Genomic DNA, 25,042 nt, shown 5'->3' with positions numbered 1-25,042 from the left:
AGGCCGAGGTGGGTGGATAGCATGAGGTCAGGAGTTCAAAACCAGTTTGACCAACATGGTGAAACGCCATGTGTACTAAAAATACAAAAAAATTTAGCCGGGCATGGTGGCATGCACCTGGAGTCCCAGCTACCTGGGAGGCTGAGAAGAATCGCTTGAACCCGGGAGGGGGAGGTTGCAGTGAGCTGAGATGGCACCACTGCACTCCAGCCTGGGCGACAGAGCAAGACTCTGTCTCAAATAATAATACTACTAATAATAGTTAAATGAAAATGGTTAAGATGACAGCTTTTATGTTATATATATTTTAGCCATTTTTTTTTAAAGGCACAGGGCAGACAGGGCTCTTAGTTAGGTTCTGGGGTAGGGGGCTAGAAAGGCCCGTGGCATGAGGGGAGGGTAGGCCGAAGTGGGGTCTGAGGTCAGGGGCCTTGAATCCCAGGGAGAGGCTGGGGCCTGGACTCAGGGGTCCCTGGGAGCCACAGGAGGCTGTAGAGCAGGGGAGGAGCCAGGGAAGGAAATTCTGAAGGAAACAGGGCCGTGCCCTGAACACACGTGGAATCCGGGTGTTCGCTGAGTCACAAATCCTGGAAGCTCAGGGTCGTGAAGAGGAAGTCCAGCCGCGCTATGCGAGGTCTTCCTGTTTTTGGAGGGGGCAGGCACCCCAGGGCCGATTGTCGCGAATCACCTTCACCTCTGGGGGCTCAGAATCCCTGAGCCAGAAGGCCAGGGCAGGGCTGGGGGATACCCCTGCTGCTCAGACAGGAAAATGGGCTCGGAGCTTGCCCAATACTTCCCAGAAGGACGAGGCTGCTGAACTTCTCATTCGGGGCTCCGGGACCTGGACTGTACCCCTTTCTGGTAGGGGGTGCTCTGAACTGGGACCTTCAGCATGGAGGGCGGGGGTTCAGAGGGTGAATTCCGCTGCTATGTCATTACCTGGATGGGAGAGTGTCTCCACTCCACACACCTAGAAGTTTCTGCAAAGTTACCTTGAATGGGAGTGGGAAGCAGTCCCCCGTGAGAGGTAGTGAGGTGCCTGTCATGGAGGTGTGCAAGCGGAGAATGAAAAGGCTGGATTTGGGAAGGAGGTCAGATCTACCAGGGTCACAGAGGCCCTTGGCATGGGGAATATTCTGTGATTCTGTGGTTATGTAGTACTGTCATTCCCAGCTTGTGGCTTTTTTTTTTTTTTTTTGGATGGAGTCTTGCTCTGTTGCCCAGGCTGGAGTGCAGTGGTGCGATCTTGGCTCACTGCAACCTCCACCTCCTGGGTTCAAGGGATTCTCCTGCCTCAGCTCTCCAGTAGCAGGGATTACGGGCACAGGCCACCATACCTGGCTAATTTTTGTATTTTTTTGTAGAGACAGGGTTTCGCTATGTTAGGCAGGCCGGTCTTGAACTCCTGACCTCAGATGATCCTCCCATCTCGGCCTCCCAAAATGTTGGGATTACAGGCGTGAGCCACCACACACAGCCAGCTTGTGGCTTATAAAATTCCAAGAGCCTTTGACTCTTTTTTTTTTTAGCCTTTGAGTTTAATATTTTTGTGTTTTAATTCTAAGTATTTTTATGCATGTATTTTGCGATTGCATTTTTAAATATATGTTTTAGGATATTTGTATCTATTATTATAATAATTATTATTAGTTTTAAATTACCGAATGCAGTTTTGTTTGAAGTCGTTTCCTGGGCTTTCACGCACACGTGGCCATAAAGTTGTTCTGATAATTAAATCAGTGCTGTGTATTATTATTATTATTGCCATTATTGTTTTTATTAATTATTATCCCCGTGAGGAATTTTTCTGGGATTTGAAGGAGCGTCTGCTGCTCTCGCCCGCCGTCTTGTGGCCACGAGCGGGACTGCAGGCCGCTCACCTCGCCGCCCCTTGCCCGCAGGCGTCACCTCCTCCTGTCGCCTGGCCCTCGCCATGCAGACCCCGCGAGCGTCCCCTCCCCGCCCGGCCCTGCTGCTTCTGCTGCTGCTACTGGGGGGCGCCCACGGCCTCTTTCCTGAGGAGCCGCCGCCGCTTAGCGTGGCCCCCAGGGACTGTGAGTCTGGGGGTGTCTTTGGGCGGGGGTGGAGTCCCGTGGGAGTATCTGGGTTCCCAGTTGGGTCTGCTGCCCCCACTGGGGGACTCAAGCAGTCCAGGAGCCACCCCTAGAAGGGGCATGACCTCAGGCCACCCTCTCTTCACCCCCAGCCCTTGCTCACACCCCTCTCCACCCCCTCACTCAGACCTGAACCACTATCCCGTGTTTGTGGGCAGCGGGCCCGGACGCCTGACCCCCGCAGAAGGTGCTGACGACCTCAACATCCAGCGAGTCCTGCGGGTCAACAGGACGCTGTTCATTGGGGACAGGTATTGCTGGGGACAGCAAGGAGGCCTGTGTGACGAGCAGAATGAGCGAGGGGGAGAGAGAGAGGAGGCGAGGGCAGGGAGGGGATGGAGCAGGTCGTGCAGGGCCTGTTGGGCCATTGGGAGGACTTAGGCTTTGACCCGGAGGAAGGTGGGAGCCACGGAGGGTTTTAGGTAGGGGAAGGACTGGACCTGACTCAGGTGCTCACACGCGCCCGCCCTCTGGTGGCTGCTTCTGGGAGGGGGCGAGAATGGAATCCAGGGGACCAGGGTGGAGGGGACTGGGCTGTCCAGGCTGGCTATGATTGAGGCTGGACCAGGTGGAAGCTGTCGTGGGGAGAAGCAAGTGTGAGATTACGGGGCTTCTAGGGATGGGCTTCCCAGGAAGGAGAGAGACCGGACAGATCAAATGCTTTGGAGAGGATGAGGAGGATGCGGAAGTGACCACTGGGCTTAACTACACGAGGTCACCAATGACGTTGAGCAGGGCGGCTTCCTCGGCAAGGGTGTGAGGGGAGAGAGCCTGGTGGGCGCCTGGGAGGCGCCGAGTGGGGCACCTGACCTAAGGCCATGGGACATGGTGTTGGGGGCAGTCCGTGGGGCGTGCCGGGCAGGAGGTGGAGTGCAGGATATGAAGGCCTGCTGGGGCCCTTGGGGGGGTGTGGTCGGCGCTAGAGTTGCTCGTGTCAGAGGCATTGGCATGGCCCTGCATGCCCCCGTGTGCACACCACATTGGCAGTGGGAAGGATGGAACGGGAGAGGGTGGCGGAGCCCCCAGTTCTCACTAACTATGCCCCTCCCCCAGGGACAACCTCTACCGCGTAGAGCTGGAGCCCCCCACGTCCACGGAGCTGCGGTACCAGAGGGTGAGGAAGGGGTGCAGGTGGGAGTGGAGGGGTAGGGCCAGGGGGACGCGGCACTGCGCCGGGGAGCTGGGTGGATTCGGCCCAGCACGGCGGGGTCACTCAGGGCTGCTGGGACCCGTTACCCCCTCACCAGCTCTCTCTGTCTGCAGAAGCTGACCTGGAGATCTAACCCCAGCGACATAAACGTGTGTCGGATGAAGGGCAAACAGGAGGTGAGTTGGCCCTGGCTCGGTCCCGGCCCCTGCGAATCAGCCCTGGCATTACCCATGCCCCGCCCCAATCAGACCAGGCCACGCCCACCCCGCCAGCCCTGGCCACGCCCCAACCCACCCCCAATCAGCCCTGGCCCCGCCCAACTGCCAGCCCTGGCCACACCCCCAAACAGCCATGGCCACGTCCACGTCCCCACCCAATTGGTCCTAGCCCGGCCTCCAGCCTAGCCACAATTATCCATAACCACGCCCCAAATAGTTCTGGCTATGCCCACACTTCTGCCCCTGTCAGTCCTACCACCACCCCCAGCCTCGTTCCAACAAGCCCAGGCCATGTTCACACGCCACCCAATAGCTCACTCCCCACCCAATCGATCAGGTCCCCATCCCGACCCCTCCCCTATCAGTCCTGCCGCCCCCCACGCCCCCGGCCCGCCCCAATAAGCCCAGGCCACGCCCACCCCACCAGCTCTGGCCACGCTCCCAACTTGGCCCCAATCAGCTATAACCGTGCCCACCACGCCCCAGTTAGTTCTGGTCACGACCATGCCCCACCCCAATCGGCCGTGACCACACCCAGGGCGGATCCTTCTCCTCCATCCCAGGTTAGGACTCTGCTATTGCCATGGTTATGCCCACAGTCTGACAATGCCCACCATCCTGGCCTTGCCTGCGTTGCTGATACAAAGTGTTTCCCTGTCTGGGTCGCACCGTGTCCCCAGCCAGTCCTAGGTTCAGCCCCTGCCTTGGCCATGCCCACAACAGACCGGCCCTCCACCCACACAACTCAGGTTCTGGCCACGCCCATCACCATGACCACGCCCACATCGCGCTCCCCGCTTCCTCCTGTCCCCACCTCAGGGCGAGTGTCGAAACTTCGTAAAGGTGCTGCTCCTTCGGGACGAGTCCACGCTCTTTGTGTGCGGTTCCAACGCCTTCAACCCGGTGTGCGCCAACTACAGCGTGAGTCTTCAGACTCCCTGCGCCCCAGGTCCAACCTCCAGGCCTCTGCTCGCCCGACCTCCGCTGGCCATGGCTTTTCCCCAGGCCGTGTCACCTCCTCCAGGAAGCCTTCCTGGATATACTCTCCCTGCCTCCTCCCCCTGAGCTCAAGAGGAGTCAGCGCTGTCCAAACGAGGCCTGTACAGGGGGCCGGGGAAGCCGTAGCTACTTAGGTAATGAGCCAGTTACAGGTCTAACTAGGCATTGACTCTTAAACCCATTTACAGATCAGTAAACTGAGGCCCTGAGAGGTTAAGTGAGTGGCCAAGGTCACACAGTAATCCGTGGTGGATCAGGATTCCCCCTGGAGTGGGGGGCTGAGGGAGCCAGGGGCTGCTAGGTGGGGTCAGGAGATCTGTCACTCAGGCCCCATGGTCCCTGCAGATAGACACCCTGCAGCCCGTCGGAGACAACATCAGCGGTATGGCCCGCTGCCCGTACGACCCCAAGCACGCCAATGTTGCCCTCTTCTCTGGTAAGTACCCCCCCAACCTCCATCTGATCAGCCCCAGCCACAGGCAAGACCTGGCATTTTCTACTCCAGCGTCTGGGTTGTTTAGAAGGCAGCTGGACGACCACTTGTCCCAGCTGTGACATGGGCAGACTCTCAGCCCAGGTTTGGGGCTCAGCTGGGATTGAGGCTCAGCGGGATTTGGGGCTTAGCCGGGGTCAGGGGCTCAGTTAAGGTCAGGGCTTGGATGGAGGTGGGGCTTGGATGGGATCAGGGCTCAGCCTGGAGACAGGGGCTCCCCTAGGCTCAGGACTCAGTCTCAGAAAATCGAGTTTCGACCCACCCAGCCCCTGGCCTCTGCGGTCTCATCTCTTGCCTGCCTTCCCCACCCACCCCATCCAGACGGGATGCTCTTCACAGCTACTGTTACCGACTTCCTAGCCATTGATGCTGTCATCTACCGCAGCCTCGGGGACAGGCCCACCCTGCGCACCGTGAAACATGACTCCAAGTGGTTCAAAGGTGAGACCAGGAAGGGCAGTGGGCCCAGACCTGGCAGGGCCCAGAACCTGACATTCATCAAATCTCCCCACCAGAATAAGAGTCCCAGAGGAGCTTGGTGGAGAGATTTCCACCACATCTTTGGAATCTGTTGGCCTTTTTGAAGACTAGAAAGCTAGAGGAACAAGTTTAGTTGGATCTAAAGTAGAACCCGCTGGAAGTGGGTGGCTTAGAAGCCCAAAATGGAACCACAGAAAAGATATAGCAGGACTCAGCTCTTCAACACATGAGGGAGGAAGATAACAAAAAATAGTTGATGTTGCCATTTGCAGCAAGAGACACAGCGATTTTAGGCTTCTGACCTCCCTTCCCCTGCAAAATACCAAACTTTGAGTCTGTTTCATATTGTCTGGGTAACCAGCCTATGTCCCCCCTTCACCATAAAAGCCAGTGAGTTCTTAGCCCCAGAAACCCCCTTTGTCATGTCAGGGGCTGAGTTCTGACCCCTCCTGTCCTGCAGAGCCTTACTTTGTCCATGCGGTGGAGTGGGGCAGCCATGTCTACTTCTTCTTCCGGGAGATTGCGATGGAGTTTAACTACCTGGAGAAGGTGAGGCCGGTGCAGTGGGGCATGAAGTTGAGAGGCTCTGATCATGCGAAGTGAGGGGGCAGAGGTGGATCCATGAATCCCTGCATGGGGTGAGAGGGTCCTGCCCTCCATTTCTGGTCCCCAGGGCCTCCTTTCCAGCCATGATCAGGCCCTGAGGCTGAAGACATCTACGGAGCAGCCGTGGAGCACTCAGCCCTGACGAGGGACTTGAGTTGGAAGTCAGATACACCTGGTGCTGTTGCTGTTCACCTGTCCACCCACCCACCCAGCCACAATCACTTATCCATCCTTCATCCCCTGTCCATCCGTCTACCTGCTCACCCTCCCACTTACCCATCTGTCTGTTCTTCAGCCCACCCACACTTTCATGAGCCCATTAATCCATCTACTCATCTGCCCACCCACTCACTCATCCACCCACTACCATCCATCCGTGCACTCATCCATCTGTCCATGCATCCATCCACCCATCGATTCATCTAGCCACCCTTCCATCCTATCCATCTATCAGTCCATCCACCTATCCATCCATCTATCCATCATCTGTCCATCCATCTGCCAATCCATTCACCCATCCATTCATCCATCCATCCATCCCATCCACCCATCCATCCATTTATCTACCCATCCACCAACACACCCACCCACCCACCCACCCATCCATCCATCCATCCATCCACACATCCATCCATCCATCCAGCTGCCAATCCATCCACCCATCCATTCATCCATCTACCTATCCACCCACCCATCCATCCATCCTTCATCTATCCATCCATCTGCCAATCCATCCACCCTTCCATCTCATCTATCCATCCATCTCATTCACCCACTCATCATCTATGCACCCACCCATCTATCCATCCATTTATCTGCCCATCCACCCACACACCCATCCATCCATCCATCCATCCATCCATCCATCCATCCATCCATCCACTCACCCATCCAACCATCCACCCATCCAACTCACCTATCCATCCATCCATCCATCCATCCATCCATCCACTCACCCATCCAACCATCTACCCACCCAACTCACCCATCCATCCATCCATCCATCCATCCACCCACTTATCCATCCATTCATTCATCCACTTATTCACCTATCCATGCATCCATCCATCCACTCACCTAGCTTTCTCTCTATCCATCTGTTCATCCATCCACCCACACATCCATCTACTTATCTACCAATTGCTTGATTACCTTGTTCTCCTTCACCATCTCTTCCATTATCTATCATCCTTCTTCAGATGTATTTATTTATCCATCCACCTACTCATCCCTCCATTGTAATCGTCCGTCCATCTACTCATCCACTCATCCGTCCATCCAGGCAACCAGGCAGTGCTGAAGTGCACAGACTGCCACTAACTACTATTGTGACCTTGGACCAGTCACTTCCTTTTATCTGTGCCTCTTATCAGTGTCCCCACATGTACAATGGGGGGATATCAGTAGGCCCCCCTCGGGAAGAGTGTAAGAGATGTGAGAATAAAATGTGGGTCTTCGTGGAAACAGTGATGATTATGGTTGTCACTGTTGCTATTATCATCATTGACATTCCCACCGGGAATTTCTGCCAGGGAAGCCGGTGCCCAGAGAGGAACGGTGACTGGCCGGGGTCCCACCAGAGCCAGGGTCAGACTCCTCCATCACAGTTTGGGTGGTGAGTGGCACAGCCTGTGAACAGGCCTTCCTGGGACACAGAGCTCAGGCCCCCGTCCGTCCACTGTCACGCCCAGGTGGTGGTGTCCCGCGTGGCCCGAGTGTGCAAGAACGACGTGGGAGGCTCCCCCCGCGTGCTGGAGAAGCAGTGGACGTCCTTCCTGAAGGCGCGGCTCAACTGCTCTGTACCCGGAGACTCCCATTTCTACTTCAACGTGCTGCAGGCTGTCACGGGCGTGGTCAGCCTCGGGGGCCGGCCCGTGGTCCTGGCCGTTTTTTCCACGCCCAGCAACAGGTCAGCGCCCACCAATGGGAGCAAACTGGGAGCATTTGGTGGGCATGGGTAGAGAGGGCCTGTATTCACTCCTCAGGTATGCCCTGGGTGCTAGGTTGGGCACCACTGGATTAGACCTCTGAGAGGCCTCGGCCCCAGGCTGGGGTGGGACAAGCTGACACTGACCCTCTAAGTCCCTTTGGTCAGAACTGGGCCAAAGATATCCTCATCCTCTGCCTTTGGGGAGAGGAGCAGGGAGGGCTTCCTGGAGGAGGGGACATTGGAGCTGGACTTTGGGTGTGAGATGGAGGAAGAGGGAAGGGTGTTCAAAGTTGGAGAAACAGCATGTGCAAAGGTCCTGAGGCTTCAGTGAGTTCAGTATACTTAAGTAATCGTGAGAGAGTCTGTGTGGGAAGGGAACTAGGGGAGAATGCACAACAGGAAAGCAGGGAACTGGTAGGATGGATCAGGCAAGGCTTTGTGGGCTGCAGGCAGAAACTTGGACTTTTTCCCTGAGAGCACTGGGGAGCCATGGAAGAGTGAAGAGCAAGAGGGATGAGATCAGGTTTGCATTTTTTGTTTGTTTGTTTGTTTGTTTGGTTTGGTTTTTTTTTTGAGACAGTTTCACTCTTGTTGCCCAGGCTGGAGTGCAGTGGCGCGATCTCGGCTCACCACAACCTCTGCCTCCTGGGTTCAAGCAATTCTCCTGCCTCAGCCTCCCTAGTAGCTGGGATTACAGGCGTGCGCCACCACACCCAGCTTATTTTGTATTTTTAGTAGAGACGGGGTTTCTCCATTTTGGTCAGGCTGGACTCAAACTCCTGACCTCGTGATCCACCCGCCTCAGCCTCCCAAAGTGTTGGGATTACAGGCGTCAGCCACCGCACCCGGCCAAGGTTTGCATTTTTAAAAAGCCTGCTTGTGGACTGGGCACGGTGGCTTCGCCTGTAATCCCAGCACTTTGGGAGGCTGAGGAGGGCAGATCACTTGAGGTCAGGAGTTCGAAACCAGCCTGGCCAACATGGTGAAACCCCATCTCTACTAAAAATACAAAAATTAGCTGGGTGTGGTGGTGGGCACCTGTAATTCCAGCTACTCGGGAGACTGAGGCAGGAGAATTGCTTGAACCTGGGAGGTGTAGGTTACAGTGACCTGAGATCACGTCACTGCACTCCAGCCTGGGCGACAGAGCAAGACTCGGTCTCCAAAAAAAAAAAAAAAAGCCTGCTGGGGAGTGGGCTCTAACAGTGACACTGGGCAGGCAGGACATCCAGTTAAACAGGGATGGGGGCCTGGACAGGGGTGGCCTCGTAGACCCTGAACTGTGGCCCAATCTGAGATGTTATTCAGGAGGAGTGGCTGCATTCGACAGATGCGGGAGGGACAGGGGACATCTCTGGCCTAGGAAGACTGAAGATTCACTGGCTCCTGCAGACAGAGGCTCCTGCACGCACTTGTCCGAGATGGGGCCTCCCACCGGGCTCACCAAACTCTTTCATCCCAACCCCTCAGCATCCCTGGCTCGGCTGTCTGCGCCTTTGACCTGACACAGGTGGCAGCTGTGTTTGAAGGCCGCTTCCGAGAGCAGAAGTCCCCCGAGTCCATCTGGACGCCGGTGCCGGAGGATCAGGTGCCTCGACCCCGGTGAGAACCCCCTCCATCCTGAGTCACATGCCCGGATGAGGTCCTGATCCCCAGGGCCGAGGGCTGGGGCTTCCGGGTGGTTATTTAGCTGATGCTGAGTTCAGCTGTACCCGTTATACAGTTGGGAAAAACTGAGGCCTGGTGTGGTGGCTCACGCCTGTAATCCTAGCCCTTTGGGAGGCGGAGGTGGGCAGATCACCTGAGGTCGAGGGTTTGAGACCAGCCCGACCAACATGGCGAAACCCTGTCTCTACTAAAAATACAAAAATTAGCCGGGCGTGATGGCACGTGCCTGTAATCCCAGCCACTCGGGTGGCTGAAGCAGGAGAATCGCTTGAACCCAGGAGGTGGAGGTTGCAGTGAGCCAAAGCACTCCAGCCTGGGCGACAGATTGAGACTCTGTCTCAAAAACAAAACAAACAAAAAACCTGAGGGTCGTTGGGCAAAGCAATGGGTACCTCTGGTGAATCAGGCCCCTTTATGAGAACCTTTACGTTCGTCCTGACCACACCCTTGTCACCCCCAGGCCCGGGTGCTGCGCAGCCCCCGGGATGCAGTACAATGCCTCCAGCGCCTTGCCGGATGACATCCTCAACTTTGTCAAGACCCACCCTCTGATGGACGAGGCGGTGCCCTCGCTGGGCCATGCGCCCTGGATCCTGCGGACCCTGATGAGGTCGGTCCTGGAGAGGCAGGGCATGGCGAGGGGAGACAGGATGGGGTAGATGGAGGGTGAGAGGATCCAGATGCTCAACACAGATGAGCCCATGGCTTCCGGCGCTGCCCAGAGAGCTGGAGACACAGAGAGACAGAGAGGGAAAGATGGAGAGACACTAGGAAAGAGAGAACAAAGAGAGAGACAGAGGGATCAAGAGGTGACAGATGGGGCTGGGCACGGTGGCTCATGCTTGTAATCCCAGCACTTTGGGAGGCCGAGGCTGCCAGATCACCTAAGGCCAGGAATTCGAGACCACCCTGGCCAACATGGAGAAACCTCGTCTCTACTTAAAATACAAAAATTGGCCGGGCATGGTGGCTCACGCCTGTAATCCCAGCACTTTGGGAGGCCGAGGCAGGCGGATCACGAGGCCAGGAGATGGAGACCATCTTGGTTAACACAGTGAAACCCCGTCTCTACTAAAAATACAAAAAATTAGCTGGGCGTGGTGGCAGGCGCCTGTAGTCCCAGCTACTCAGGAGGCTGAGGCAGGAGAATGGCATGAACCCGGGAGGCGGAGCTTGCAGTGAGCCAAGATCACGCCACTGCAGTCCCGCCTGGGCGAAAGAGCGAAACTCCGTCTCAAAAATAAAATAAAATAAAATACAAAAATTAGCCAGGCGTGGTGGTGGGCGCCTGTAGTCCCAGCTACTCGGGAGGCTGAGGCAGGAGAATCACTTGAACCCGGGAGGCGGAGGTTGCAGTGAGCCGAGATCACGCCACTGCACTCCAACCTGGGGCCAGAGGGAGACTACACCTCAAAAAAAAAAAAAAAAAAAAAGAGGTAGACAGACAGACACACACCAGGAGAACAAAGGGGGAAAGAGACAGAGAGACAGGGAGAGAGACAATCAGAGACAGACAGACACCCAGAGAGACAGAGATAGGGAAGAGAGACAAAGAGAGAAAGAGACTGAAAGATACACAGACACACATACATATCAGGAGAAAGCGGGGCTGGGCACAGTGGCTCATGCCTGTAATCCCAGCACTTTGAGAGGCTAAGACGGGAGGATCACTTGAGGTCAGGAGTTTGAAACCAGCCTGGCCAAATGGTGAAACCCTGTCTCTACTAAAAATACAAAAAAAAGAAAATCAGCTCGGTGTGGTGGTGTGCGCCTGTAGTCCCAGCTACTTGGGAGGCTGAGGCAGGAGAATCGCTTGAACCCAGGAGGCGAGATCGAGCCACTACACTGCAGCCTGGGCAACAGAGTGAGACTCTGTCTCAAAAAAAACAAAACATAAACTTGCCAGGCGTGATGGCGTGTGCCTGTAGTCCCTGCTACTCAGGAGGCTGAGGCAAGAGAATTGCTTGAACCCGGGAGGCGGAGGTTGCAATGAGCTGAGATTGCGCCACTGCACTCCAGCCTGGGTGACAGAGTGAGACTCCATCTCAACCAAAGAGACAGGGCTGAGGAGAGCCTGGTTTGGGGTTATGTTTCAAAAAAGGGCGAGTGTGCCCACGTGCCTGTGTAGTCACGCATGTCCCCGGCATCCATGCACACACGCATTTATTGCTGTCACATGTGTTGGTGTGTCAGTGTCTGTATGCACCCGTGTAACTATGGCCATGCCCGTGTTGGTGGCATGTGGTGATATGGGGCCAGCCTGACCCTCCCCTGCCCTGTCCCCCAGGCACCAGCTGACTCGAGTGGCTGTGGACGTGGGAGCCGGCCCCTGGGGCAACCAGACCGTTGTCTTCCTGGGTTCTGAGGCGGGGACGGTCCTCAAGTTCCTCGTCCGGCCCAATGCCAGCACCTCAGGGACGTCTGGGCTCAGTGTCTTCCTGGAGGAGTTTGAGACCTACCGGCCGGACAGGTAAGTCTGGGCAAAGGTGGGAAGGGGTCGCCAGCAGGAGGGGAGATGGGCTGAGATGCGCTCAGCCTCACCACTCTGCTTGTCCCCAGGTGTGGACGGCCCGGCGGTGGCGAGACAGGGCAGCGGCTGCTGAGCTTGGAGCTGGACGCAGCTTCGGGGGGCCTGCTGGCTGCCTTCCCCCGCTGCGTGGTCCGAGTGCCTGTGGCTCGCTGCCAGCAGTACTCGGGGTGTATGAAGTGAGTGTCCACCCCAGGCCAGCCGTGGGCGGGAAGCAAGGGAGGATGGGCACAGGGAGGGACAGCTGGGTTCCAGTCAAAAGCCCAATGATGTCCTGGTCATTGAGCTGGGCAGAGGGCATGGCCCGTGCAAAGGCCCGCGGGCAGGACCACTCCTGGTGTGTTGGAAGAACAGCAAGGTGGCCGGTGTGGCTGGAGCACAGTGAGCAAGGGGGAGTGAGGGAGGAGGGGAGGACGGGGAGGGGATGGGAGAGGACGAGGCAGTTTGTGCAGAGCTTTGTGAGCCTCGGGGAGGACTTGGGCTTTGACCTTGAAGGAGATGGGAGCCATGTAGGGTTGCAGGCAGAGGAGGGACTGGCCCTGACTCAGGTGCTTACAGGTGCCCTCTGGTGGCTGCTGCCAGGAGGAGACTGCAGGGGAAGGAGAACCAGGGACCAGGGTGGAGGCTGTTTCCCCGTCTCTAAAATGGGAGGAAAGCTAGGATGCATGCCAGTGCTGGCACACGCCTGCACTCCATGTGAGCCGTCAATGCGGAGGACCCTGCTTCCTGCCCGCCGTTATTGCAACAATGACCCAGTAGCTCCGAGTCCAAGGGCACAGCCTCTGGCACGATGCCTGGGCTCCCATCTCAGCTCTGCCACTTGGGCAAACATTTACTTTCTGGAGCGTCAGTTTGCTTATCTGTAAAGTGGGGAGTGAACAGTGCCCTGCACACAGATTTGTTCTAAGGACTCCAGAAGTTGCTATTAAGAAGAGGGACTGGGCTTGGTAGCTCACGTCTGTCATCCCAGCACTTGGGAGGCCAAGGCAGGAGGACTCCTTGAGCCGAGGAGTTCGAGACCAGCCTGGGCAACACAGCATAGTGAGAGCCTGTCTCTAAAAAAAAAAAAAATGCAAAAATCAGCTGGGCGTGGTGGCACACACCTGTGGTCCCAGCTACCCAGAAAGCTGAGGCAGGAGGATCACTTGAGCCTGGGAGGTTGAGGCTGCAGTGAACTATGATCATGACACTGTACTCCAGCCTGGGTGACAGAGCATGACCCTGTCTCTTAAAGAAAAAAAAAATTAAATTTTAATTTAAAAAAATTTTTTTAATTTTAAAATAAGAAAACGCCAGCCGTGGTGGCTCACACCTGTAATCCCACCACTTTGGGAGTCCGAGGCGGGTGGATCACTTGAGGTCAGGAGTTCAAGACCAACCTGGTGAAACCCTGTCTCTGATAAAAATGCAAAAATTAGCTAAGTATGGTGGCGCGTGCCTGTAATCCCAGCTACTCGGGGGGCTGAGGCAGGAGAATCGCTTGAACCCGGGAGGCGGAGGTTGCAGTGAACCAAAATCCCGCCACTGCACTCCAGCCTGGGCGACAAGAGCGAAATTCCATCTCAAAAATAACTAAATAAATAAACAACAAGAGCGAAATTCCGTCTCAAAAATTAATTAATTAAAATAAAAATAAAGAGGCAGGTGCTTGGAACAGGGCCCACAGGTCACCATCACCATTGGGGTTGTGTAAGTGACTTGGACACTTGTCCCATTCGGTCCCTGGTCTGCTCTAGGAACTGTATCGGCAGTCAGGACCCCTACTGCGGGTGGGCCCCCGACGGCTCCTGCATCTTCCTCAGCCCGGGCACCAGGTACTGCGGGAGAGGGAGGTGGGTGGAGGGTGTGTCAGACCCGCCCATGATCCCAGATCCCCCTGATCTCTGACTGTGAGAGGGGCCTCTGCTGACGGTGCCTCCTCTCCCCATTAGAGCCGCCTTTGAGCAGGACGTGTCCGGGGCCAGCACCTCAGGCTTAGGGGACTGCACAGGTGAGTTGGGGGGACGGCAGGCTAAGACCCCCATCCCCCACTACCATGGGGGAGGGGAGGGAGGAGGCTGGAGGACCCTCGAATCCTCTGGGAGGTGGGTGGGGAAACTGGACTCCATCAGAGAACTTTAGAAAGGCATGGGGTGGGCCGGGCGCGGTGGCTCACGCCTGTAATCCCAGCACTTTGGGAGGCCAAGGTGGGTGGATCACGAGGTCAGGAGATCTAGACCATCCTGGCTAACACGGTGAAACCCCGTCTCTACTAAAAATACAAAAAATTAGCCGGGCGTGGTGGCGGGCGCCTGTAGTCCCAGCTACTCGGGAGGCTGAGGCAGGAGAATGGCGTGAATCCGGGAGGCAGAGCCTGCAGTGAGCCAAGATCACGCCACTGCACTCCAGCCTGGACGACAGAGCAAGACTCCGTCTCAAAAAAAGAAAAGAAAGGCATGGGGTGGTCTCATCTCATTTATTGGGGAGGGAGATAGGGGAAGAACAGAGACACCAAGAAACAGGCAGGCTTTGGCAAGGACGAAGAGACAACAGAAGGCAGACAGACCAACTTCAACAGGACAGAAGGGGCCAGGCGCGGCAGCTCCTGCCTATAATCCCAGCATTTTGAGAGGCCAAGACAGGACGATCACTTGAGGTCAGGAGTTTGAGACCAGCCTGGGGAATATAGTGAAACCCTGTCTCTAAAACAAAAACCCAAAAATAATCCAGACGTGGCAGTGCATGCCTGTAGTTCCAGCTACTTGGGAGGCTGAGGCGGGAGGATCGCTTGAGCCCAGGGAGGTGGAGGCTGCAATGAGCTGTGATCAGGCCACTGTACTCCAGCTTGGGCAACAGAGTGAGAACATGTCTTTTTTTTTTTTTTTTGAGACAGAGTCTTGCTCTGTCACCCAGGCTGGAGTGCAGTAGTGTGATCTCAGCTCACTGCAACCTCCACCTCCCGGGTTCAATTGATTCTCCTGCCTCAGCCTCCCAAGTAGCTGAGATTACAGGCGCACACCACCATGTCCGGCTAAAATTTGTATTTTTAGTAGAGATGGGTTTCACTTGTTGGCCAGGCTGGTCTCAAACTTCTGACCTCAGGTGATCTCCTGCCTCAGCCTCACAAAATGCTAGGATTATGGGTGTGAGCCATCATGCCTGGCCCAGATCCTGTCTTTAATAAAACAAACAGGTAGCTGGAGGCAGGGTTGCAGTGAGCTTTACCACTGCACTCTAGCCTGGGGGACTGTCTCAAAACAAACAAACAAAAAAAATTAAAAAATAATAAAAATAAGGCCAGTCGTGGTGGCTTATGCCTGTAATCCCAGCACTTTGGGAGGCAGAGGTGGGCGGATCACAAGGTCAGGAGTTCAGACCAGCCTGGCCAACGTGGTGAAACCCCATCCTACTAAAAATACAAAAATTAGCCGGGCGTGGTGGTGGGCACCTGTGGTCCCAGCTACTCGGGAGGCTGAGGCAGGAGAATCACTTGAACATGGGAGGCGGAGGTTGCAGTGAATCGAGATCGCCCCACTGCACTCCAGCCTGGCACACAAAGGAAGACTCCTTCTCAAAAAATAAATAAATAAAAAAAAATAAAAATAATAAAAAAGAGGACAGAGGGCCCCGAGGAGGTAGGAGGGATGCCCAGGGCCACCCCGCCGGCCCCACTAACCCCCCTGTGCTCCCCGGCCAGGACTCCTGCGGGCCAGCCTCTCCGAGGACCGCGCGGGGCTGGTGTCGGTGAACCTGCTGGTAACGTCGTCGGTGGCGGCCTTCGTGGTGGGAGCCGTGGTGTCCGGCTTCAGCGTGGGCTGGTTCGTGGGCCTCCGTGAGCGGCGGGAGCTGGCCCGGCGCAAGGACAAGGAGGCCATCCTGGCGCACGGGGCGGGCGAGGCGGTGCTGAGCGTCAGCCGCCTGGGCGAGCGCAGGGCGCAGGGTCCCGGGGGCCGGGGCGGAGGCGGTGGCGGTGGCGCCGGGGTTCCCCCGGAGGCCCTGCTGGCGCCCCTGATGCAGAACGGCTGGGCCAAGGCCACGCTGCTGCAGGGCGGGCCCCACGACCTGGACTCGGGGCTGCTGCCCACGCCCGAGCAGACGCCGCTGCCGCAGAAGCGCCTGCCCACTCCGCACCCGCACCCCCACGCCCTGGGCCCCCGCGCCTGGGACCACGGCCACCCCCTGCTCCCGGCCTCCGCTTCATCCTCCCTCCTGCTGCTGGCGCCCGCCCGGGCCCCCGAGCAGCCCCCCGCGCCTGGGGAGCCGACCCCCGACGGCCGCCTCTATGCTGCCCGGCCCGGCCGCGCCTCCCACGGCGACTTCCCGCTCACCCCCCACGCCAGCCCGGACCGCCGGCGGGTGGTGTCCGCGCCCACGGGCCCCTTGGACCCAGCCTCAGCCGCCGATGGCCTCCCGCGGCCCTGGAGCCCGCCCCCGACGGGCAGCCTGAGGAGGCCACTGGGCCCCCACGCCCCTCCGGCCGCCACCCTGCGCCGCACCCACACGTTCAACAGCGGCGAGGCCCGGCCTGGGGACCGCCACCGCGGCTGCCACGCCCGGCCGGGCACAGACTTGGCCCACCTCCTCCCCTATGGGGGGGCGGACAGGACTGCGCCCCCCGTGCCCTAGGCCGGGGGCCCCCCGATGCCTTGGCAGTGCCAGCCACGGGAACCAGGAGCGAGAGACGGTGCCAGAACGCCGGGGCCCGGGGCAACTCCGAGTGGGTGCTCAAGTCCCCCCCGCGACCCACCCGCGGAGTGGGGGGCCCCCTCCGCCACAAGGAAGCACAACCAGCTCGCCCTCCCCCTACCCGGGGCCGCAGGACGCTGAGACGGTTTGGGGGTGGGTGGGCGGGAGGACTTTGCTATGGATTTGAGGTTGACCTTATGCGCGTAGGTTTTGGTTTTTTTTGCAGTTTTGGTTTCTTTTGCGGTTTTCTAACCAATTGCACAACTCCGTTCTCGGGGTGGCGGCAGGCAGGGGAGGCTTGGACGCCGGTGGGGAATGGGGGGCCACAGCTGCAGACCTAAGCCCTCCCCCACCCCTGGAAAGGTCCCTCCCCAACCCAGGCCCCTGGCGTGTGTGGGTGTGCGTGCGTGTGCGTGCCGTGTTCGTGTGCAAGGGGCCGGGGAGGTGGGCGTGTGTGTGCGTGCCAGCGAAGGCTGCTGTGGGCGTGTGTGTCAAGTGGGCCACGCGTGCAGGGTGTGTGTCCACGAGCGACGATCGTGGTGGCCCCAGCGGCCTGGGCGTTGGCTGAGCCGACGCTGGGGCTTCCAGAAGGCCCGGGGGTCTCCGAGGTGCCGGTTAGGAGTTTGAACCCCCCCCACTCTGCAGAGGGAAGCGGGGACAATGCCGGGGTTTCAGGCAGGAGACACGAGGAGGGCCTGCCCGGAAGTCACATCGGCAGCAGCTGTCTAAAGGGCTTGGGGGCCTGGGGGGCGGCGAAGGTGGGTGGGGCCCCTCTGTAAATACGGCCCCAGGGTGGTGAGAGAGTCCCATGCCACCCGTCCCCTTGTGACCTCCCCCCTCTGACCTCCAGCTGACCATGCATGCCACGTGGCTGGCTGGGTCCTCTGCCCTCTCTGGAGTTTGCCTCCCCCAGCCCCCTCCCCATCAATAAAACTCTGTTTACAACCACCGGCCCCCATGACTCTGGCTCTGCTCTGCCTCCTGGGGGTGGCACGGGTGGGGGCACCCTCAAAAGTCAAGGCCAGGCCGGGCGCGGTGGCTCACGCCTGTAATCCCGGCACTTTGGGAGGCCGAGGTGTGCAGATCACTTGAGGTCAAGAGTTCGAGACTAGCCTGGCCAACATGGCAAAACCCCGTCTCTACTAAAAATACAAAAAATCAGCCAGGCTTGGTGGCGGGTTCCTGTAATTCCAGCTACTCGGCCGACTGAGGCAGAAGAATAGCTTGAATCTGAGAGTCAGAGGTTGCAGTGAGCTGAGATCACACCACTGCACTACAGCCTGGGTGACAGAGCGAGACGCTGTCTCAAAAAAAAAAAAAAAAAAAAGGCTGGGTCAAAACAAATCTGGGGAGCTGAGTGTGGAAACATGGAGACTTCGGGGTCCCCATCTTCATCTGCATAGGAGCCAGTTTCTTTTTCTTTTTCTTTTTCTTTTTTTGAGACAGAGTCTCACTTTGTCACCCAGGCTGGAGTATAGTGGCGCGATCTCGGCTCACTGCAACCTATGCCTCCTGGGTGCAAGCAATTCTCCTGTCTCAGCCTCTCCAGTAGCTGGGACTACAGGCACCCGCCACCACGCCCCGCTAATTTTTGTATTTTTAGTACAGACGGGGTTTCATCATATTGGTCAGGCTGGTCTCGAACTCCTGAACTCAGGTGATCCGCTTGCCTCGGCCTCCCAAAATGCTGGGATTACAGGCGTGAGCCACTGCGCCTGGCCAGCCTTATGAATTTTGTTTTAAGTGGGACAAGAAGCCATCAGAGAGTTTTAAGCAGGGATGTGATCTCATTTCATTTTAATGGATCGTTTTGTTACTGTGTCACTACATTTCACAAGCCTTCCTTCCTCTCAGTCCATGTTGATTAAGACCAACTAACGGCTGGGCTCCGGAGACTGGGCAGGGCACAAGACTGACGGAGTGCAGTGGCTCACGTCTATAACCCCAGCACTTTGAGAGACTGAGAAGATTCCTTGAGCCCAGGAGTTTGAGACCAGCCTAGGTAACATACAAAAGAATTTTTTAAATTAGCCAGGCATGGTAGCATGTGCCTGTATTCCCAGCTACTCGGGAGGCTGAGGCAGGAGAATCGTTTGAACCCAGGAGGTGGAGCTTGCAGTGAGCCGAAATTGCATCACTGCACTCCAGCATGGGTGGCAGAGGGAGACTCCATCTCAAAAAAAATTAGCCAGGCATGGTGGCACGTGCCCGTAGTCCCAGCTACTTGGGAGGCCTTGGACCCATGGTCAAAGCTACAGTTAGCTATGATTGCACCACACTGCTCCAAGCTGGGTAACAGAGCAAAATGCTGTCTCAAAAAAAAAAAAAAATGACGGGGCATGGTGGCTCACACCTGTAATTTTAGCAGTTTAGGAGGCCGAGGCCAGTGGATCACATGAGCTCAGGAGTTCAAGACCAGCCTGGGCCACATGGCAAAATCCTGTCTCTATTAAAAATATAAAAATTAACCAGGCACGCTGGTGCATGCCTGTAGTCCCAGCTACTCGGGAGGCTGAGGTGGGAGAATGGCGTGAACCCGGGAGGCGGAGCTTGCAGTGAGTGGAGATCACGCCACTGCACTCCAGCCTAGGCAACAGTGCAAGACTCTGTCTCAAAAAAAAAAAGAAAAAAAAAATAGTCATAGCTGCAGATAAAGGTGACACCATCATACCTAAATATTTAGAACTCAACAAGAATGCAAGCACTCTGCAGCCAAGTCCATGAGATGCAGCCAAAGCTGTTCTCAAAGGGAAATTTGTAGCCTCCAAACGCATTTAATAGGAAATGAGGAAGAATGGAAACAATAGCATGGATGTCAGATTCAGATGAAGAGAAAAAAGGGCAGAAGGAGCCCTTGGAGATTTGAGTTCAGCTTCATAGATGGGGAAACTGAGGCCAAGAAAAGTTAAGTCACTTGCCAAAGGTCACAAAGCAAAGGTGTTCATGACAGAGCTGGAATTCAGAACCAGGTTTGGTTCCTCCCAAGCCACTGTCTAAGGACCGTAGAGACGTTTGGCATTACTCACTATTGGACTGTATTTTTAAAATGACTTCTTTTAAAAAAAGCAATATCAACATACCATGAAATCAAGACGAGTTTTTTTGTTCTTTTCAGTGAGCTTCTGGGTTGCTCAAGTTTATGGTAAATCCCTCCTCTTGCTCAGAGAGCTGTCCCTGTCTCCAGGAATAGTGCCTTGCAAACCTTGACCCTTGAACTCCGGGTTGGGGGAAGTGAGGATGCAACTAGAGAGACTCTTGGATGCCCCCCAAAAATCAGGAAGCAAGGAAAGAAAAACCTGTGTTCTAGAAGCAGGGTCAAAAAGGGGTTGAACAGGAAACAATTTCCAGGAAGCAATTTTGTAATCCTGACCCCTCCCCTTCCCCTGCCTGGCTTAGGCTCAGCCCCTATCAGGAACTGGACGGGGGTGGGGACTTCCCCAGGGTTGGTTCCCCTGCCCCCAGTCCAGGCAGGTATAAGGCCACCTCCGCAGGCCAGGACAACCCAGAAGCAAAAGAGCAGAGCTACCATGTCCTCTTGGAGCAGACAGCGACCAAAAAGGTAGGTCCCCACACTACCTGTCCTAGGCAGGTTTGAACGCCAGACCATGCGGAGATACAGGACATTCCAGCTAACCCATAGAAGTCACAGGGAGCAGATACAGGCCTGGTGGCTGGCACAGATCAACCTTATCTGTGACAGAAAGACTGGCGCGTGCACACACACACACACCCCTACAGAAGCCCAGGTGGGCATGGGCAGCAGGGAGCCGGGGGAGGCTTCTTGTTAGAGGCCTGGGGCCACAGTGACCAAGGCTGTCGAGATCATGTCTGATGGCTGCCGGGCCAGGGAAGCCCTGGAGGAGGAGGGGAAGCCCCAGGCTTCCAAGGGTTGTGGTGCTAAGTGTAAACCACCGCTTCCCAAGGCCAAATGCCCACCCTCAGACCTGGCCAAAGCAGGACACACTTTTCATGTTCAGAGGCTGCAGTGAGCTGTGATCATGCCAGTTCCCTCCAGCCTGGGCAACTGAGCAAGACTCTGTCTCAAAAACATGAACCTGAACGTCTGTCTTCCTCCAAGCACCCAATTGGTCAAGAGTGGACAAAAAGACCAGGATCCCAGAGCAGAGAAGTCTTCATGGAAAAGAGGGCATTGGAGCTGGGGCTTTGAAGGATGAATAGGAGTTCACATCAAAACACAGAGCCAGGGAGACAAGGACTGACCCAGAAAATAAGCCAGATCAGAAGAAACTAGCAAGTTGGACTGTGAATAATTAACAGCTCATGGGGGCTAGGCTGGTGATGGGGAAGTGTATTCATATTATGCGGGAGTTACACTCAGAAACTCAACTTTCCTAGAATTATAATTCTCCCTGGAACAGGGGCCACTTCTGGCAGCTGTCGGGGGTGAGGGTAGAAGCTGGAAGAGGAGGAGGAAGCAACTGCCCTAGTACAGGTGAGAGATGAGGTAGCATAGTCCAGGCTGGTAGCCGCAGAGATGGGAAGAAGTGGGCGGATTTGCTGGTGTATTTTCACCTAGCTGAGTGTATTTTCACTGTGGTTTAGTAAGCATCTTCTGTTACTGCCTGCAGCCCAGGGGGCATTCAACCCCATGTTTCTAGAACTCTGTTCCTGCTGCTGCTGTTGGCAGCCTCAGCCTGGGGGGTCACCCTGAGCCCCAAAGACTGCCAGGTGTTCCGCTCAGACCATGGCAGCTCCATCTCCTGTCAACCACCTGCCGAAATCCCCGGCTACCTGCCAGCCGACACCGTGCACCTGGCCGTGGAATTCTTCAACCTGACCCACCTGCCAGCCAACCTCCTCCAGGGCGCCTCTAAGCTCCAAGAATTGCACCTCTCCAGCAATGGGCTGGAAAGCCTCTCGCCCGAATTCCTGCGGCCAGTGCCGCAGCTGAGGGTGCTGGATCTAACCCGAAACGCCCTGACCGGGCTGCCCCCGGGCCTCTTCCAGGCCTCAGCCACCCTGGACACCCTGGTATTGAAAGAAAACCAGCTGGAGGTCCTGGAGGTCTCGTGGCTACACGGCCTGAAAGCTCTGGGGCATCTGGACCTGTCTGGGAACCGCCTCCGGAAACTGCCCCCCGGGCTGCTGGCCAACTTCACCCTCCTGCGCACCCTTGACCTTGGGGAGAACCAGTTGGAGACCTTGCCACCTGACCTCCTGAGGGGTCCGCTGCAATTAGAACGGCTACATCTAGAAGGCAACAAATTGCAAGTACTGGGAAAAGATCTCCTCTTGCCGCAGCCGGACCTGCGCTACCTCTTCCTGAACGGCAACAAGCTGGCCAGGGTGGCAGCCGGTGCCTTCCAGGGCCTGCGGCAGCTGGACATGCTGGACCTCTCCAATAACTCACTGGCCAGCGTGCCCGAGGGGCTCTGGGCATCCCTAGGGCAGCCAAACTGGGACATGCGGGATGGCTTCGACATCTCCGGCAACCCCTGGATCTGTGACCAGAACCTGAGCGACCTCTATCGTTGGCTTCAGGCCCAAAAAGACAAGATGTTTTCCCAGAATGACACGCGCTGTGCTGGGCCTGAAGCCGTGAAGGGCCAGACGCTCCTGGCAGTGGCCAAGTCCCAGTGAGACCAGGGGCTTGGGTTGAGGGTGGGGGGTCTGGTAGAACACTGCAACCCGCTTAACAAATAATCCTGCCTTTGGCCGGGTGCGGGGGCTCACGCCTGTAATCCCAGCACTTTGGGAGGCCCAGGTGGGCGGATCACGAGGTCAGGAGATCGAGACCATCTTGGCTAACATGGTGAAACCCTGTCTCTACTAAAAATATAAAAAATTAGCCAGGCGTGGTGGTGGGCACCTGTAGTCCCAGCAACTCGGGAGGCTGAGGCAGGAGAATGGCGTGAACTTGGGAGGCGGAGCTTGCGGTGAGCCAAGATCGTGCCACTGCACTCTAGCCTGGGCGACAGAGCAAGACTGTCTCAAAAAAATTAAAATTAAAATTAAAAACAAATAATCCTGCCTTTTACAGGTGAAACTCGGGGCTGTCCATAGCGGCTGGGACCCCGTTTCATCCATCCATGCTTCCTAGAACACACGATGGGCTTTCCTTACCCATGCCCAAGGTGTGCCCTCCGTCTGGAATGCCGTTCCCTGTTTCCCAGATCTCTTGAACTCTGGGTTCTCCCAGCCCCTTGTCCTTCCTTCCAGCTGAGCCCTGGCCACACTGGGGCTGCCTTTCTCTGACTCTGTCTTCCCCAAGTCAGGGGGCTCTCTGAGTGCAGGGTCTGATGCTGAGTCCCACTTAGCTTGGGGTCAGAACCAAGGGGTTTAATAAATAACCCTTGAAAACTGGATCGGATGAATTGGCTTTCATTGTGTTCCTAGCATCTTCTCAAATCAACTTCCCAGGACTCCAGGGTGAAGGAGGAAAAGAGGCATGGCCCAGGCCCTGGGGTGTGGGATATGGTCTCCCTAGGGGATGACAGTTGGGATCAATGGCCTGTGACTTCTCCTCTCCCTTCCCCCATCCTGGGACCTAACTGGAAATAAAACCTTGACTGTTGCCCGGGTGTCATTTTACCAGTGGATTTCTGCCAGGGCTTGTGTCCTAGGAGAAGGTTTAAGTTAAACCAGATTGCCCAGGTCTCCAAACGATTTGTCATGCTGACCTGAGATCATCGAAGGGGGCACCTGCCCCCGGGCAAGGTTGCAGGGGCAGGATGGGGCTGAAGGGATGAGCAGGGTCCCGGGCCCACCTGCTGATACAGCATTGGCCATGTGGGGGCTGCAATCGGATTTGGAAGACCCTGGGGCTTGGGGGCATGTCCAGTTTTCCCAGCTCCCTAAAAAATGACCATGCAGCCTGGCGCCGTGGCTCATGCCTGTAATCCAAACACTTTGGGAGGCTGAGGCAGGCAGATCACCGGAGGTCAGGAGTTCGAGACCAGACTGGCCAACATGGCAAAACCCTGTCTCTACTAAAAATACAAAAATTAGCCAGGCACAGTGGCACGTGCCTGTAATACCAGCTACTTGGGAGGGTCAGGCAGGAGAATCACTTGAACCTGGGAGGCGGAGGTTGCAGTGAGCCAAGATCACGCCACTGCACTCCAGGCTGGGCGACAGAGTGAAACTGTGTCTCAAAAATAAAAATAAAAATAAAAAGACCATGCCTACATCTGTGGTCATTCCAGGCAAGGCAATGAAAAGGCAGGGTTCTGAGGTCCAGCAGGGCTGGGTTTGAATAGGATCCCTGGCCGGGCACGGTGGCTCATGCCTGTAATCCTAGTACTTTGGGAGGCCAAGGCAGGCAAATCACGAGGTCAGGAGTCCAAGACCAGCCTGACGAATATGGTGACACCCCGTCTCTACTAAAAATACAAAAATTAGCTAGGTGTGGTGGCAGGCGCCTGTAATCCCAGCTACTCCGGAGGCCGAGGCAGGAGAATCACTTGAACCCAGGGGGCGGAGGTTGCAGTGTGTCAAGATCGCGCCACTGCACTCCAGCCTGGGCGACAGAGTCAGACTCTGTCTCAAAAAAAAAAAAAGAAAAAAAAGGAATAGGATCCCTCACTTGCTGTGGTATGCGGGGCAAGTGTTTTATGATCTCTGAGCCTCAGCTTGCTCATCTGTGAAATGGGGATCCTAGGGAAAGGGAAGGCCTGGCTTCTGGCTTAGTTAAGGGGCAGATTAAGAAATAAAAAGAGGCTGGGTGCAATGGCTCACACCTGTAATCCCAGCAATTTGGAAGGCTGAGGTGGAAGGATCACTTGGGGCTCAGGGGTTGAAGACAAGCCTGGTCAACACAGGGACATCTCGTCTCTACAAAAAGTTTAAAAAGTTAGCTGGGGGTGGTGGTGTGTGCCTGTGGTCCCAGCTACTTAGGAGACTGAGGCGGGAGGATCACCTCAGCCTGGGAGGGCAAGGCTGCAGTGAGCTATGATCACACCACTGCACTCTAGCCCTGGGCAACCGAGCAAGACCCAGTCTCAAAAATCGATAAATAATAATAATTAATAAGAAAAGTCATCAGCGAGTTGGCCAAGGTCACTCAGCAGGGCTATGGGGGCTGTGATCGCATGGACTGTCTCTATGGCAACAGCAGTGAGGATGACAGGTGGCCAAACTTGGTCCGGGAACGTATAATAGCTCAATCTTTTGAATCTAGCGCTCCCGAATTACTATGGCAACCGTAGGGCACTGGGCCAGCTCAAGGAGAG

The 25,042-nt window shown here is 56.3% G+C and overlaps 2 protein-coding genes across 2 annotated transcripts, besides 1 other annotated feature; both read left to right on the top strand.

Moving 5' to 3' along the window:
- The first annotated feature begins 706 nt into the window (after positions 1-706).
- SEMA6B (semaphorin 6B) lies at positions 707-17,798 on the top strand. The gene is made up of 17 exons (NM_032108.4): positions 707-861; positions 1,902-2,054; positions 2,242-2,365; positions 3,168-3,228; positions 3,378-3,440; positions 4,302-4,403; positions 4,827-4,917; positions 5,296-5,415; positions 5,915-6,003; positions 7,752-7,969; positions 9,461-9,592; positions 10,119-10,268; positions 11,946-12,128; positions 12,218-12,364; positions 13,922-13,999; positions 14,117-14,175; positions 15,862-17,798. Exons 2-17 carry the CDS (start codon positions 1,934-1,936, stop codon positions 16,788-16,790), a joined length of 2,667 nt encoding a protein of 888 aa, NP_115484.2. The 5' UTR covers positions 707-861; positions 1,902-1,933; the 3' UTR covers positions 16,791-17,798.
- Positions 3,360-3,654: an enhancer, noted in NCBI's record as "tiled region #7851; HepG2 Activating non-DNase unmatched - State 17:Gen3', and K562 Activating non-DNase unmatched - State 1:Tss". NCBI's record gives its function as "activates a minimal TATA promoter and a strong SV40 promoter by Sharpr-MPRA in HepG2 and K562 cells {active_cell/tissue: HepG2 | K562}" and the evidence as "EXISTENCE:reporter gene assay evidence [ECO:0000049][PMID:27701403]".
- A 2,556-nt stretch (positions 17,799-20,354) lies between the features above and the next one.
- On the top strand, positions 20,355-23,989 carry LRG1 (leucine rich alpha-2-glycoprotein 1). Its single transcript, NM_052972.3, has 2 exons — positions 20,355-20,409; positions 21,440-23,989. The coding sequence occupies exons 1-2, from the start codon at positions 20,378-20,380 to the stop codon at positions 22,449-22,451; spliced, it is 1,044 nt and encodes a 347-aa protein (NP_443204.1). The 5' UTR covers positions 20,355-20,377; the 3' UTR covers positions 22,452-23,989.
- Positions 23,990-25,042: the final 1,053 nt, after the last annotated feature.

This window comes from Homo sapiens, chromosome 19 (genome assembly GCF_000001405.40).
Source record: "Homo sapiens chromosome 19, GRCh38.p14 Primary Assembly".
Lineage (NCBI taxonomy): Eukaryota > Metazoa > Chordata > Mammalia > Primates > Hominidae > Homo > Homo sapiens.
The sequence above is the reverse complement of the archived record's forward strand: the minus strand, read 5'-3'. Positions and strand labels throughout refer to the sequence as shown.